The following is a 14092-nucleotide window of genomic DNA, read 5'->3' on the forward strand; positions in this document are numbered from 1 at the left end:
TAGAAAATATAATTTTTTAAAAGAAATTTTTCATAAAAACTCATATTGTTAATTAGGAATAAAATTGACAAAAAGGAAACAGTTTTATGAGGAAATCTATAAAACTTTAAGGATATTTTAAATCTCAACCTCTTCCTCTGTTTCCTTCTAACACTTATTTTTGAATGTACTTTTAAAAAATTCGAGTTTTGTTGCTTCACTGGTTTTTGTCATCCTCTCCCCTCATTCGATTGTAAACTTGAGGGCAAGGAAGACCTTGTCATGTTCCTCATACATGTTCCTCAACACTTTTCACAGTGCTTGGCATAAAGCTGGCTGGCCCTTTGTACCTGTAAAACGCGGAAACACCCGCAGCTCCTCTTTTTCTCTACCTACTTTGTCGCACATTACGCAATAATGTACAGAAATTGCTCCAGGCCTCCCACGTGACAATGCCTCCGCCTGCCACGCACCCAGCCAATCAGAGCACTTGGCACCTGCGACGGCGCTCTCCCCCCACCTCACCCGCAAGGCGGCACGAGCCGGAATCTTCCAGTCTCAGGCTGTTTGTTCCCCCGCGGGGCAATGCGACTGCGCGTCGCTTCCTGATTGGCCGAGAGTTGCGGGCTGCGTGCGCAGGCGCCTACCTCTGTTACTTAGGGCGGGAGCCCGGCGAGGGCGCCGGTGCTTTGTTCTGTCTGAGGCCAGGAAGTTTGACCGCGCTGCCATGCCGAACCGTAAGGCCAGCCGGAATGCTTACTATTTCTTCGTGCAGGAGAAGATCCCCGAACTACGGCGACGAGGCCTGCCTGTGGCTCGCGTTGCTGATGCCATCCCTTACTGCTCCTCAGACTGGGCGGTAAGGCTGGAGCGGAGTGAGAGGGCTGGGCAGGGCAGTTGGGCAAGCCGGAGGGTGAGGCGGGAGGGCAGAAGGCCTCGAGGAGGTCAGGCGGCTTGGCCCTGCCAGAGGAAGAGGAAGGCCCCCGTTTGTGGCCCTGGGCAAACCGACACCAGAACCACCTCCCTGTAATGCCCCAGCATCTGCCTGCGGGCCCTAGAGCACGGGATCCTCACGGCTGTTTCTCTTCTTTGCTCCTTCAATCCCCAAAAGCTTCTGAGGGAGGAAGAAAAGGAGAAATACGCAGAAATGGCTCGAGAATGGAGGGCCGCTCAGGGAAAGGACCCTGGGCCCTCAGAGAAGCAGGTAAAGTTAACGAGAGAAGAGCCGCCATCTGCCTGGCACATAGGCATATTCAGTAAAGGCTGGATGAGTGAATGAGTGAATGTCAAGGGTGGACTGCTTTGGGGGTTCGGTTAGTGCGAAGACGACGTTCTTCTTTTCCCCTGGTGTCAGAATGCCTGTTAAAAAAAACCAACAGCCTCCACAACTAGGGCATGCACACATTGGTGTAATTTGATGGTGAAAGGCCTGGGGAATTCCTGTTAGGAAACCTGTAGACAATACACTTTGATCGCTAATGGGAGTGTAACATCTAGGGGTTGTACTAGATGACATCAAGGTGTCCCTTTCAACTCTTCTGTGATTAATGAGCCTTGGCGGGGGGTGGGGGGTGGGCAGTGGGGGCTTAAAACTAGTTTAGACCATTCTGTCTTTTTTTCTTTAGCAAAATATACCATTCTTTTAAAAATGACACCTGAAACAAAGCCAGCTGCTGTGTTTAAAATATTGAAATAACAAGACTTGGATTAGTTGGTGTATGTGTGTATGTTTTACAAGAGTTGAATAGGCTGGGCACGGTGGCTCACGTCTGTAATCCCAGCACTTCGGGAGGCGGAGGTGGGCTGATCACTTGAGGTCAGGAGTTTGAGACCAGCCTGGCCAACATGGGGAAACCCCAACTCTACTAAAAGTAAAAAATAAAAAAAGCTGGGTGTGATAGCAGACGCCCGTGGTCCCAGCTACTCAGGAGGCTGAGGTGGGAGAATCGCTTGAACCCGGGAGGCAGAGGTTGTAGTGAATCGAGATTGCGCCACTGCACTCCAGCCTGTGCGAAAGAGCAAAACTCTGTATCAAAAAAAAGAAAAAAAAAAGTTGAATGAAGTTTATTTGGGTAAATTTCTGTGTAGTAGAATGTTAAAGTACTAAATAAAATTTGTTTTCTTGTTGATTTGTATCAGGAAAGTGCCAGGTAATTGTTGGTGCTACCCTACCCTTTGTTTTTTCCATTCTTACATGGTAAAATTCCATTCTTAAACTGTCAACATTGGATTGAAATTCAAGAGATAGTTTTATTTTGTGGATTTATGAGTAGAAGCTCAGTTGAGCTTGTACTTATACTTGCAAGCCTTATTCTTACAAGATATCTCTCCTCAAAACTAAAGCTATGGTGTATGTGTACCTCATGTGAGACTTGGAGACAACATAATCTGGTTTTGACTTTAAGTGAAAAACAAGCAAAATTAGAGTACTTTGGGGCATAGTGTGCTTTTGGCCACTGGCCTGGCATGTAGTAGGTGGCTCAGGATGATTACCTTGGATAATCAGTAGTGGGCAAAATGGCTTTCAGTAGTAGTGGCATTGGTTATTTACCACTCCCCTTCTGATTCAGAATATTTATAATTTGTTATTCTGCCTTTGGGTGTTGGTATTATTGACAGATATATTTATTCACTGGATTCATTGACCTTGGTAATCTATAGGCTGTTTTGCAGTTATTTAGCTAAATTTTAATGTATGGTCTAAAAGTGCCCAGCAAGAGTTTATGTGGCCAATCATTCTCTTCCTCTTTAGAAACCTGTTTTCACACCACTGAGGAGGCCAGGCATGCTTGTACCAAAGCAGAATGTTTCACCTCCAGATATGTCAGCTTTGTCTTTAAAAGGTGATCAAGGTAGAGTAATCCTGAAATATTTTGCTGAGATAAATTTGAGTGCCCAAAACACTATATTTGTCAGTAAAAATATTTTCTGTTCATTTTGATCCTCCGTTTCAAAGTAAATAACTGCAAGTGTTAAATATTGTGGTACTGACATTATAAAAGATTAGGTAATTTGTTGAAATAAAATAGGAGAGTGGTTTTTTTTTTAACAAAAATCTGTTCTCTGTTTCTACCACTTTATATGTTGTTAAACATAGGTATTTTTTAGACTTGTTTATAATTGGACACTTAAATATACTTAAGTTAAAAACAAAAGTAAACAGGTGGAAGAACGTTTTCAGATCTGTTCTACAGTGTGATGACTACGTTAATGTATGTTTCAAAATTGGTAAGAGTAGGTTTTACATATTCACACCACAAAAAGTGAGGTGATGGATATGTTAATGAGCTTGATTTAATCATTCCACAATGTATACATGTATCAAAACTACATTGTACCTCATAAATATGTATATAATTATTATTTGTCAATTAAGAATAAAATATTTAAAAATCCTGGGTGGTGGAGGGGGCTTATAAAGATACAAATGAATTATGGAACTTGCCAAGAAGAGAACATAGTTAATAAGGGTTGTTGCTATTCCTTCTGGCTGTTTTTATTGTGTTCTGCCTTTGTTGAACACTGGTAAACTTTTAACAGTCTTAAATGTGTCCAGTCTTGGTAAATAACACTTCACACATTCTCACATTCCTTTATTCCTTTAGAGGATTTATAGGTGGTTTTATATATATTGGTAAAAAGTGAAAAAAGAATGAACTGAATTGTTCATAGTTTATATTACAATCTTTCTACATTGATTCTGCTCAGCTTCGTTTCCCAGACCTATATATTTGTTGAATATGGGTCACTGCTCTGTGTCATTCCTGAGATTCAGGGCTTATCTATGGCCGAATTATGTAGAGCTGGCTGCAAGTTGGAATAATTTTGTTGCTTCATGCAAAGAGTGGTTACTTTAATCCTTGATAATTGTAATTATAAGAATTTTGATTTCTTTATTTGGTACGGCTGATTGGTTTTCTCTTTTCCAGCTCATTTAGGAATATAGGAACAGAAAGAAAATTGTTCTAAAACATTTTTTCCCTTCAACTAAAGAGGCTTTTGTGGAAGAGGTAAATTTGAGACATTCATTTATTCATTTTATCTTACAATTTTTTTTTAGCTCTCCTTGGAGGCATTTTTTATTTTTTGAACATTTTTAGCCATGGCGAGCTACCTCCTCATTGTGAACAGCGCTTCCTCCCTTGTGAAATTGGCTGTGTTAAGTATTCTCTCCAAGAAGGTATTATGGCAGATTTCCACAGTTTTATAAATCCTGGTAAGTAGTCAGAGTAGATGCTAGATCTTAAACGTGTATGGTTTTTTTTTTTAAATCTTGACTTTATTTGATAATAGTACTTTTTCTTACAAGCTCATGTACAGCTGTGTTCTTAATGTAACAAGACTTCATAATGCTTATTGAAAAACTGTTAGGAATTAGGTGTTGACAAAGGGTTTTTTGGTTTAGGCTTTTAACCTCAAGTTACCATTAAAATCAGATGGATAGACTATCTGAACAATTCATAGCCTGCTATTCACCTACCTATGGCCTTACATCTTGGGATTTTCTAAAAGCCGTGTATGCCATGATCTTTTCTTTTTCTACCTCATCCTTCACCTCAGTGGTGACTAGCTTTTTAAGCTGCTATTGCTTTGTAGCCTTGAAGAAATTACTTAACCCCTCTGAACCTATTAGCTCATCTGTAAAGTGGGGATAATATCTATTGGAGGATTGTTCTAAGGAATAGATGACAAATATGGAAATAGCCTAATACTTAATCAGCTCTCAGATATTATCAGCATCTCTTCCTACTGTTCCATCCCATTAAAAAGCAAGGTAGGTATGAAGACATAGGATTTGATACCCTTGAAGGTAAGTAGGAAAAATATATAGGGAGAAGAGATTGGGGACATGACTTCATTTTTAGTTTTGTCAATTATCAATTACTTTAAAATTAATTAGGACATCCCAGCACTTTTTCCTCATTTTTAGATGACAGAAAAGCTAATCATCCTACTCACACTTGTGAGTGTTGCTACTTAGGACAAGTCAAAGAGCTGCTTTTCCCCACATGGGTTGTAAAATATTAAAAAGATAGAATTTGGGGACTGTTTTTCCTCTGAGAAACGCATATACACCTTGCTGTATCAATGCCCTTATGACCCCCTGAGGCCCATTCATGGACGTGGAGCTAAGACTCTTTTGACACATGCTTTCTTTATCTAGCATTTCTTTCTCTGTAAGGAGTAACTTACTTTTAAAAGTAGCTTAGACAATATACCAAATTCTTTAACAGTTTTCATACCTTTGGTTAAAAATAAACCCTATAAAAGTTTAATCTTTTGTATTTTCATGTAATAAAAATTACCTTTCTGTGTGATAACTTGGTCATCTTGTAGAGTATTACTGTAGCACTAGAGAACTTTAAAATTTTTGCTTCTCAACAAGATATTTTGTATTATAGGTGAAATTCCACGAGGATTTCGATTTCATTGTCAGGCTGCAAGTAAGTATAAAGGAATGGGGTAGGATTTGTGACTTGAATCTATTCATACCTGGTTAGACTTATTCCTTTTACACACAAACTATAAAATAAGAGGAAAATAACTTTAGGTTATTGTTAGAGAATCTGCATAGATGTGATAGATGGTGTCTGTGATCTTTAAATTTTTTATAGACTGATAGTATACTGTCCCTTTTCTTTTCAGGGAATTGTTTTATTTTCTGTATATATCCTTTGACCTCAAGGTTGGCTGTTCTTAGTGGCTGGGTACTTAGGAAAACCTTTTAAGAGGTCTCAGATTATCTAGATTTAGGACTGTTTTCAGGGACATCCATTTCAATTGTGTTTTATAAGTTAATACTTCAAAAATAAAACGAGTTCTGAATTTTTTAGATAAGGAAAACAGTTTTCTAAGTATTTTGCAACCAAAGGGCATGACTGTGTATATCTAAGCCCTTGAACTAAACCCTTTTTCTGGGAATTAGGTTTTAAGTGATTTTCTGCTTAAATAGAATGAAAATCGGAATAGGTTTATTTTTAAATGTATATTAAAAGTGTCAGTGCATAGGGACTATTTAATGATTCCTGTCTGTAAGGTAATTTTTTTTTTTTTTTTTTTTTTGAGACGGAGCCTTGCTCTGTCACCAGGCTGGAGTGGAGGGGCGTGATCTTGGCTCACTGCAATCTCTGCCTCCTTGGTTCAAGCAATTCTTCTGTCTCAGCCTCCGGAGTGGCTGGGACTACAGGCACATGCCACGGTGCCCAGCTAATTTTTATATTTTTAGCAGAGACAGGGTTTCACGATGTTGGCCAGGATGGTCTCGATCTATTGACCTTGTGATCCGCCCACATCGGTCTCCCAAAAGTGCTGGGATTACAGGCAATGAGCCACCGTGCCCACCCAGTAATTTTTTTTTTTTTTTTTTTTTTGCTTAGAAACGTGGACAGCTAGCCTCTAGAAGTGTTTGAAATTAAAAATAAGTTTTTCAAATCTGCCACAACCAGCAGCTATAATACTTACAACACTGTTCTTTATAAATGAACATATTTTGGACTTATATTTGGTTGTATATTTTGAATTCTTAATATGTACTAATTCTTTATTTGTTTGACTGGAATCAGGGCTGTAGGCTATGGAATAAGAAATGTAAGGGAGAATTGTTCTAGTAGTTCCTTTTTTGTTTTTTTTTGGAGACAGATTTATGCTCTTGTTACCCAGGCTGGAGTGTAATGGCACGATCTAGGCTCACTGCAACCTCCGCCTCCTGGGTTCAAGCAATTCTCCTGCCTCGCCTCCCAAGTAGCTGGGATTACAGGCATGCACCACCACACCCGGCTACTTTTGTATTTTTTGTAGAGCGGGGGTTTCTCCATGTTGATCAGGCTGGTCTCAAAACTCCTGACCTCAGGTGATCTGCCTGCCTCAGGCTCTCAAAGTGCTGGGATTACAGGCGTGAGCCACCGTGCTTGGCAGTAGTTCCTTCTTATATAGCTTTGAATGGAAAGTAATTACAATATGGAAGAAAAATTCTGTACTTGCTTTAAAGTGTGAACATAGCTAATATCCCCAACTGTTACATCATCTGAGGTTATTGAACTAGATGGCAGTTAAAAAAAAAAAATAAAAAAAAAATGGAAACTTAGCCGGTGAATTAATTTTCAAGTTTTACTTAGACTCTGTTTCAGGTTTATTCATCTGTTAAATGCATTGGAATCCCTACTATGTGCCAGACATTCATTTCTGAGACTGTCACTGGCTTACTGTTCCTTTGCTATTTTGATTCTGTTAAATCCTTCTTAAAAATCTATTTTTGACGACCTATTTTTACAACCTTTTCAAATTAATCAGATTAACAGAAAGCATGGTTCTTTAAAAAAATCTATTAAAGATTCTAGAAATGTTTTCTTAATTTATTATTCAACCTAGTCAAAACTGAGTACAATGTTTCTCATTCCAGGAAACTTAAAATGTTTGGAGCTTACCAATTTGAGTGTGTCTTAAATTGCCAATTTGATAATCCCGGGAAATGTGCCAATTAAATAAGATAAAAATGACTATTAGAGTCACACCTGTCACCATAATAACTAAAAATGCCTATGCTAATGTAATTGAGCTGATTTGGAGGAGACCATGTTTTGTATAGTAACACACTGGAACAAATTTACATGTGGATGTGAAGAATTTGAGTGGTATTTAAGGAACATGCATATGGATCTCTCAAATACTCCTGTGCTGTCTGATCTTTTATGAACTATGAGTGAGAGTATAGGAGGTCCTGGTGCTTCTCCTTCCCCACTTTAACCAGATGAGCTCTGCTTCTCTCCAATTTACTGGTTAATGATTTTTCTTGAGAGAAATTCTGCTTTAAAACATCAAAATTTTGAAAATTGCTTTCAGCTTCCTATACAAAAGGTCCATCAGCTTTTCAAAGGAAGCTTCTACACACAGAACAGATTATAACATTTATTTAAGGTATAACGAACATTAATAAAAAAGCACCCACAAGTCAACTGAAAAAATAGCACATTTCCAGTGCCATTGAAAGTCCCTGTATCTCTCCCTGATGGCATTCCCTTCCCTCTTTATGAGAAAATTACGATTCTGAATTTTGCGTTTGAATTTTGTGTATTTCTTTTCTGAATAGTTTTACTACATGTACATATTTGTTTAAATGATGTGTTTAATTTTACTTGTTTCAACATTTATGTAATTAACATATTGTATGTTTCAGGGTGCCCAATCTTTGGGCTCCCGTGGGCCACATTTTTTCTTTTTTTAAGACGGAGTCTTGCTCCCTCGCCCAGGCTGGAGTGCAGTGGCATGATCTCAGCTCACTGCAACCTCCGCCTCCCAGGTTCAAGTGATTCTCCTGCCTCAGCCTCCTGAGTAGCTGGGATTACAGGTGTGCATCACCATGCCCGGCTAATTTTTTGTATCTTTAGTAGAGACAGGGTTTCACCATGTTGGCCAGGCTGGTCTTGAACTCCTGACCTCATGATCTGCCCGCCTCGGTCTCCCAAAGTGCTGGGCTTACAGGCGTGAGCCACCACGCCTGGCCCCCCTGGGCCACATTGGAAGAAGAATTGCCTTGGGCCACACATAAAATACACTAACACTAATAATAACTGTTGAGCTAAACAAACAAAAATCACAAAAAAATCTTGTAATGTTTTAAGAAAGTTTATGAATTTGTATTCGGTTGCATTCAAAGCCATCCTGGGCCGCATGAGGCCTGCATGCCGTGGGTTGTACAAGCGTGATATATATATTTCCTTTCCTGTGTTTTTTAACTCAATATCTTTCACTCGTTTTCTATTGAATCATTTGTTTTTCTTACTGATTTGAGGAAGTTTATCTTATCTGCTGATGGATTTTTAAAAATTGTGTGCAGATACCTGTTTTCAGTTTGTGTCTTGTATTTTTTACTCTCTTTATGGTGTCTTTTAATGAACAGACTTTTTAAACATTTTTTGATTTTTAGAGATGGGGTCTTGCTTTATTGCCCAGGCTGGAGCATGATGGCTGTTCACAGATGCAGTCGTAGCTCACTGCAGCCTTGAATTCCTGGGCTTAAGTGATCCTCCTGCCTCACTCTCCTGAGTAGCTGGAACTTGAGGCATGCACAACTGTGCCAGCTTGTTTTTATTTTTAATTTGGTAAATGTGTCGATATTTTTTATCATTTATGGCGTTTTGTGTCTTATTCAAGAATTCTTTACCCCAAGGTTGTGAAAATAATCTCTATTTCTAAAAATTATAGAGCTTTATTTTTTGTATTCAAGTTGTTATTCTACCTGGAATTGACTTGTGTATAGTATGAGGGAGAGATTCACTTTAATTTTTAACCATGTGGATAATCATTTATCACAGCATCATTTATTGAATAATCAATTTGTACCCCAATATGTAGTGCCACCTGTATCATATCATGTTTCTGTTTGTGTGTAGGAGGATCTTTTGTTCTCTTTATTCTGTTCTGTTCTACTTTTTTGCTGTCAATATCATATTCTTAAACACAGTAGTTTGATGATATAGATAAGCCCCCGACCTCATTCTTTTGGAATATCATGGCTGCTTTGACCCTTTGTTCTTCCATACACTATTTAGAATCAGTTCTTCATGTTTTACATTAGGTCATTTTGGAGAAAACTGGTATCTTCATTATATTGAATCTTTATATTTGTAAACATGGGGCTTCCCTCTTATTTTTTAGATCCGTAATATCTTTCAATAAAATTTTATAATTTTCTCCATTAACAATCTGAATATCATTTGTTAAATTTATAGTTTATCATGCCTTTTGTTGCTGTTACAAATGATATCCCTTGAAATTATATTTTCTAATTGTTTACTTTTATATTTTGGTTTTGTCCCACCCATTGGTAAACTCTTGAGTTTTTAGCAGATTACTTAATCATATCTGTTAAATCACTTTGTTCTTTCTAATCTACATATCTTCATTTAAAATTTTTAAAATTTGCTTTGTCTTAGTATGCTGACCAGTACCTCTAGTTTCTAGTGTTTCGCCAGTGAGTATGCTATTTGCTGTAGTTTCTTCTTTCTCTCCCCACCCCCGTTTTTGGTGTGTGCTCTTTATCAGGATAAAGATGTTTCCCTCTACATGCACACCTTGTTTTATTGCATTTCACTTTATTGCACTTTGCATATATTGCATTTTTTTACACATTGAGGTTTCTGGCAGCCCTGCATTGAGCAAGTCTATTGGCATCATTTTTCCAGTGGCATGTGCTTACTTTTCTCTGTGTCACATTTTGGTAATTCTCGCAATATTTCAAACTTTGTCATTATCATCATGTTTGCTATGGTGATCTGTGATCAGTGATCCTTGATGTTACTATTGTAATTGTTTTGGAGTGTCATGAACCATGCCCATATAAGATGGCAAATTTAATTAATAAATGTTGTATGTGTTCTGACTGCTCCCCTGACTGGCCATTGCCTCATCTCTTTCCCTTTCCTTGGGCCTCACTATTCCCTAAGACACAACAATATTGAAATTAGGTCAATTAATAACCCTACAATGGCCTCTCAGTGTTCAAGTGAAAGGAAGGGTTGCATGTCTCTCACTTTAAATCAAAAGCTAGAAATGATTCAGCTTAGTGAGGAATGCATATCAAAAGCTGCAGTAGGCCAAAAACTAGGCTTCTTGTGCCAAATGACCAAGTTGTGAATGCAAAGGGAATGTTCTTGAAGGAAATTTATGTACTACTCCAGTGAACAACCAATGATAAGAAAGTGAAACAGCCCCATTGCTGATATGAAGAAAGTTTTAGTGGTCAGAATAGATCAACATTCTCCAGTTACCACATTCCCTTAAGCTGAAGCCTAATACAAAACAAAGCCTTAACTCTCTTCAATTCTGTGAAAGCCGAGAGAGGTGAGGAAGCTGCAGAATAAAAGTCTGAAGTTTGCAGAGTTTGGTTCATGAGGTTTAAGGAAAGAAGCCATCTCTATAACATAAAAGTGCAAAGTGAAGGAGCAAGTGCTGACGTAGACGCTGCAGCAAGTCATTCAGAGGATCTAGCAAAGATAACTGATCAAGGTGGCTACAGCAAATGGCAGATTTTCAACGAAAATGAAACCACCTTCTGTTGGAAGAAGACACCATCTGGGAGTTTCATAGCTAGAGAGGATAAGTCAGTGCCTGGCTTCACAGGACAGACTGATTCTCTTGTTAGTGACTAATGCAGCTGGTGACTTTAAGTTGAAGCCAGGGCTCATTTACCCATTCTGAAAATCTTAGAGCTCTTAGGAAATTATGCTAAATTGACTCTGCTTGTGCTAGTAAAAATGGAACAACAAAGCCTAGAAGACAGCACATCTGCTTATTGCATGGTTTACTGAATATTTTAAGAACACTGTTGAAATCTGCTGCTCAGAAAAAAAAAAAGATTCCTTTCAAAATTTTACTGCTCATTGACATTAGACCTAGTCATCCAAGAGCTCTGGTGGAGATGTAAAGAGATTAATGTTTTCATGCCTGCTACCACAATATTCATTCTGTAGCCCATGGATCAAGGAGTAATTTCAACTTTCAAGTCTTATTATTTAAGAAATATGTTTTATAAGGCTATAGCTGTCATAAATGGTGATTCTTCTTATGAATCTAAGCAAAGTAAATGGAAAACCTGAAAAGGATTCACCATTCTAGATGCCATTAAGAACATACATAATTCATTGGAGGAGGTCAGAATATCAACATTAAAGGTTGTTTGCAAGGATTAGATTCCAGCTCTCATGAATGACTTTGAGCAGTTCAAGACTTCAGTGGAAGAAGTAATAGAAGAGAACTAGAATTAGAAATGGAACCTGAAAATGTGCTGCAGTCTCACAATAAAACTTGAATGGGTAAGGAGTTGCTTCTTATGGGTGAGAAAATAAACTAGTTGCTTGAGATGGAACCTACTCCTAGTGAAGATGCTGTGAACACTGGTGAAATGACAAAGGACTAAGAATATTTCATAAACTTGGTAAAGTAGCAGCAGGGTTTGAAAGGATTGACTTAAATTTCAAAAGAAGTTCTGTGAGTAAAATGTTATCAAACAGTATCACATGCTACAGAGAAATTCTTCATGAGAGGAAGAGTCAGTCAGTGTGTCAAACTTCATTGTTTGATTTTAAGAAATTGCCACAGCAACTGCAGGCTTCAGCAACCATGACCCTGATAGTCAGCAGCCAGTAACATCAAGACAGGATCTTCCACCAGCATGGGAATGTAAACTAGTACAACCACTATGGGAAAAAATATGTGGAAATTCCTTAATGAACTAAAAGTAGAACTACCATTTGAAAATTCTAACAATCCCACTACTGGATATCTACCCAGAGGAAAAGAAGTCATACGAAAAGGATAACTTGCACACACATGTTTATAACAGCACAATTTGCAATTGCAAAAATGTGGAACCAGCCCAAATGCCCATCAATCAACAAGTGAATAAGGAAACTGTAGTATATATATGTGTGTATATATATGATGGAATACTACTCAGCCATAAAAAGGAATGAGTTGATGGCATTCGCAGCAACCTGGATGGGATTGGAGACTGTTATTCCAAGTGAAGCAACTCAGGAATGGAAAACCAAACACATGTTCTCACTCATAAATGGGAGCTGAGCTATAAGGATGCAAAGGCATAAGAATGACACAAGGGACTTTGGGGACTTGGGGGCAGAAGGGTGGGAAGGAGGTGAGGGATAAAAGACTACAAATTGGGTTCGGTGTATACTACTCGGGTGATGGGTCCACCAAAATCTCACAAGTCACCACTAAAGAACTTACTCGTGTGACCAAATACCACCTGTTCCCCAAAAACCTACGGAAATAAAAACATTTTTTAAAAAAGATCTTTCGCCAGCAAAAAGATTGTTAAGTCACTGAAGACTCAGGTGATCATTCGTATTTTTAGCAATAAAATATTTTTATATTAAGGTATGTTCATTTTTAAAACAATGCTACTGCACACTTAATATAGTCATAACTTTAGAGTACATAACATTTATATGCACTGGGAAACCAAAATATTTGTGTGACACTTTATTTCAATACTTGCTTTAGTGTGGCAGTCTGGAACTGAACCCACAGCATCTCCAAGATATGTTTATATTCCCTATCTGGCTAGGGAGATAGCAGTTGCACATTTTAATGAATGCTTTTTCTGCATGTCATATGATTTTTATCTTTTGTTCATGTGGCCATTAATTTACTTTTTGAGACAGAGTCTCACTCCATCACCCAGGCTAGAGTGCAGTGGCATGATCTCAGCTTGCTATAGCCTCTGCCTACCAGGCTCAAGTGATTCTCGTGCCTCAGCCTCCTGAGTAGCTGGAATTATAGGTGCACGTCACACGCCCAGCTAATTTTTGTATTTTTATTAGAGACAAGGTTTTGCCATGTTGGCCAGGCCCATCTCAAACTCCTGATCTCAAGTGGTCTGCCCACCTTAGCCTCCCAAAGTGCTGGGATTACAGGCGTGAGCCACTGTGCCGGCCTCATGTGGTACTTTACTAGTGTTAAACGAACCTTGTCTTCCAGGAACAAACCCAGTGTGGTCACTATATATTTTACATATAATATACCGAGTTTGGTTTGTTACTATTTTGTTTTAGGACTTTTCCATTTATGTTAAAGACAGATTATCTAATTTTATTATCAAGTTTATTTTGCCATTATAAAATGGGTTTGGGAATAGATTTTAAGATTTTGAATTTGATTCTTTTTTATGGCTCTACAGAAATTACTAATATTGCCTTTAATTTCCCTAAACATAATAAGCCTAGTTATTTTAAAAGTGTTATGTTGGATAATCCTCTTATCGGGATCTTCTTTTTGGAGTTGATTTTATAGTCTGTTGGTTATGGTGATGTTCAGTCAAGCTAACAGAATCTCTTCATATGTCTAGTTATTTTCGAGTGCTAAACAGTGTATATGAAATCTTGTTATTTCTCTCCAAAGAAGATTTATGATTGTGTCTGTCAGAAAGCTGGAGTCACTAGCATCTCAGATTACCCTAATGCATTTTCATGGATTGAGGTGGTTTTAAATTGGGTTTCAGACATCACAAAAGTTAATTTGTAGTTGGCCTTTACTAGAAAAGGGGGAAGGATGGACAGGTAATCACCAAAGGATTATTAGTAAAATTTACAGTTGA

At 38.2% G+C, this 14092-nt stretch overlaps 1 protein-coding gene across 6 annotated transcripts in view, besides 2 other annotated features; it reads left to right on the forward strand.

The window, feature by feature from the left end:
• MAEL (maelstrom spermatogenic transposon silencer) overlaps window positions 1–14092 on the forward strand; it is a 46633-nt gene that overhangs the window by 13065 nt on the left and 19476 nt on the right. For 2 of the 6 annotated variants that reach the window (NM_001286378.2, XM_006711583.2), the window contains exons 2-6: window positions 755–838; window positions 1091–1183; window positions 2732–2831; window positions 4040–4195; window positions 5382–5423. In NM_001286378.2, coding sequence (NP_001273307.1) covers window positions 1127–1183; window positions 2732–2831; window positions 4040–4195; window positions 5382–5423 — 355 coding nt within the window. In that variant the 5' untranslated portion in view covers window positions 755–838; window positions 1091–1126. Of the gene's footprint in view, window positions 1–633; window positions 839–1090; window positions 1184–2731; window positions 2832–4039; window positions 4196–5381; window positions 5424–14092 lie in introns of those variants that run through there. The other 4 variants (XM_011510068.2, NM_032858.3, XM_011510067.2 and 1 more) reach the window with 4 other exon arrangements.
• Window positions 207–1406: an enhancer, noted in NCBI's record as "BRD4-independent group 4 enhancer chr1:166958090-166959289 (GRCh37/hg19 assembly coordinates)". NCBI's record gives its function as "activates an origin of replication core promoter dependent on BRD2, P300/CBP, MED14 and CDK7 cofactors, and independent of BRD4, by STARR-seq in HCT116 cells {active_cell/tissue: HCT116}" and the evidence as "EXISTENCE:reporter gene assay evidence [ECO:0000049][PMID:35650434]".
• Window positions 629–1204: an enhancer, noted in NCBI's record as "H3K27ac-H3K4me1 hESC enhancer chr1:166958512-166959087 (GRCh37/hg19 assembly coordinates)". NCBI's record gives its function as "activates a minimal SCP1, AML or CMV promoter by ChIP-STARR-seq in primed H9 embryonic stem cells {active_cell/tissue: H9 hESC(primed)}" and the evidence as "EXISTENCE:reporter gene assay evidence [ECO:0000049][PMID:30033119]".

This window comes from Homo sapiens, chromosome 1, assembly GCF_000001405.40.
Source record: "Homo sapiens chromosome 1, GRCh38.p14 Primary Assembly".
In the NCBI taxonomy this organism is placed as follows: domain Eukaryota; kingdom Metazoa; phylum Chordata; class Mammalia; order Primates; family Hominidae; genus Homo; species Homo sapiens.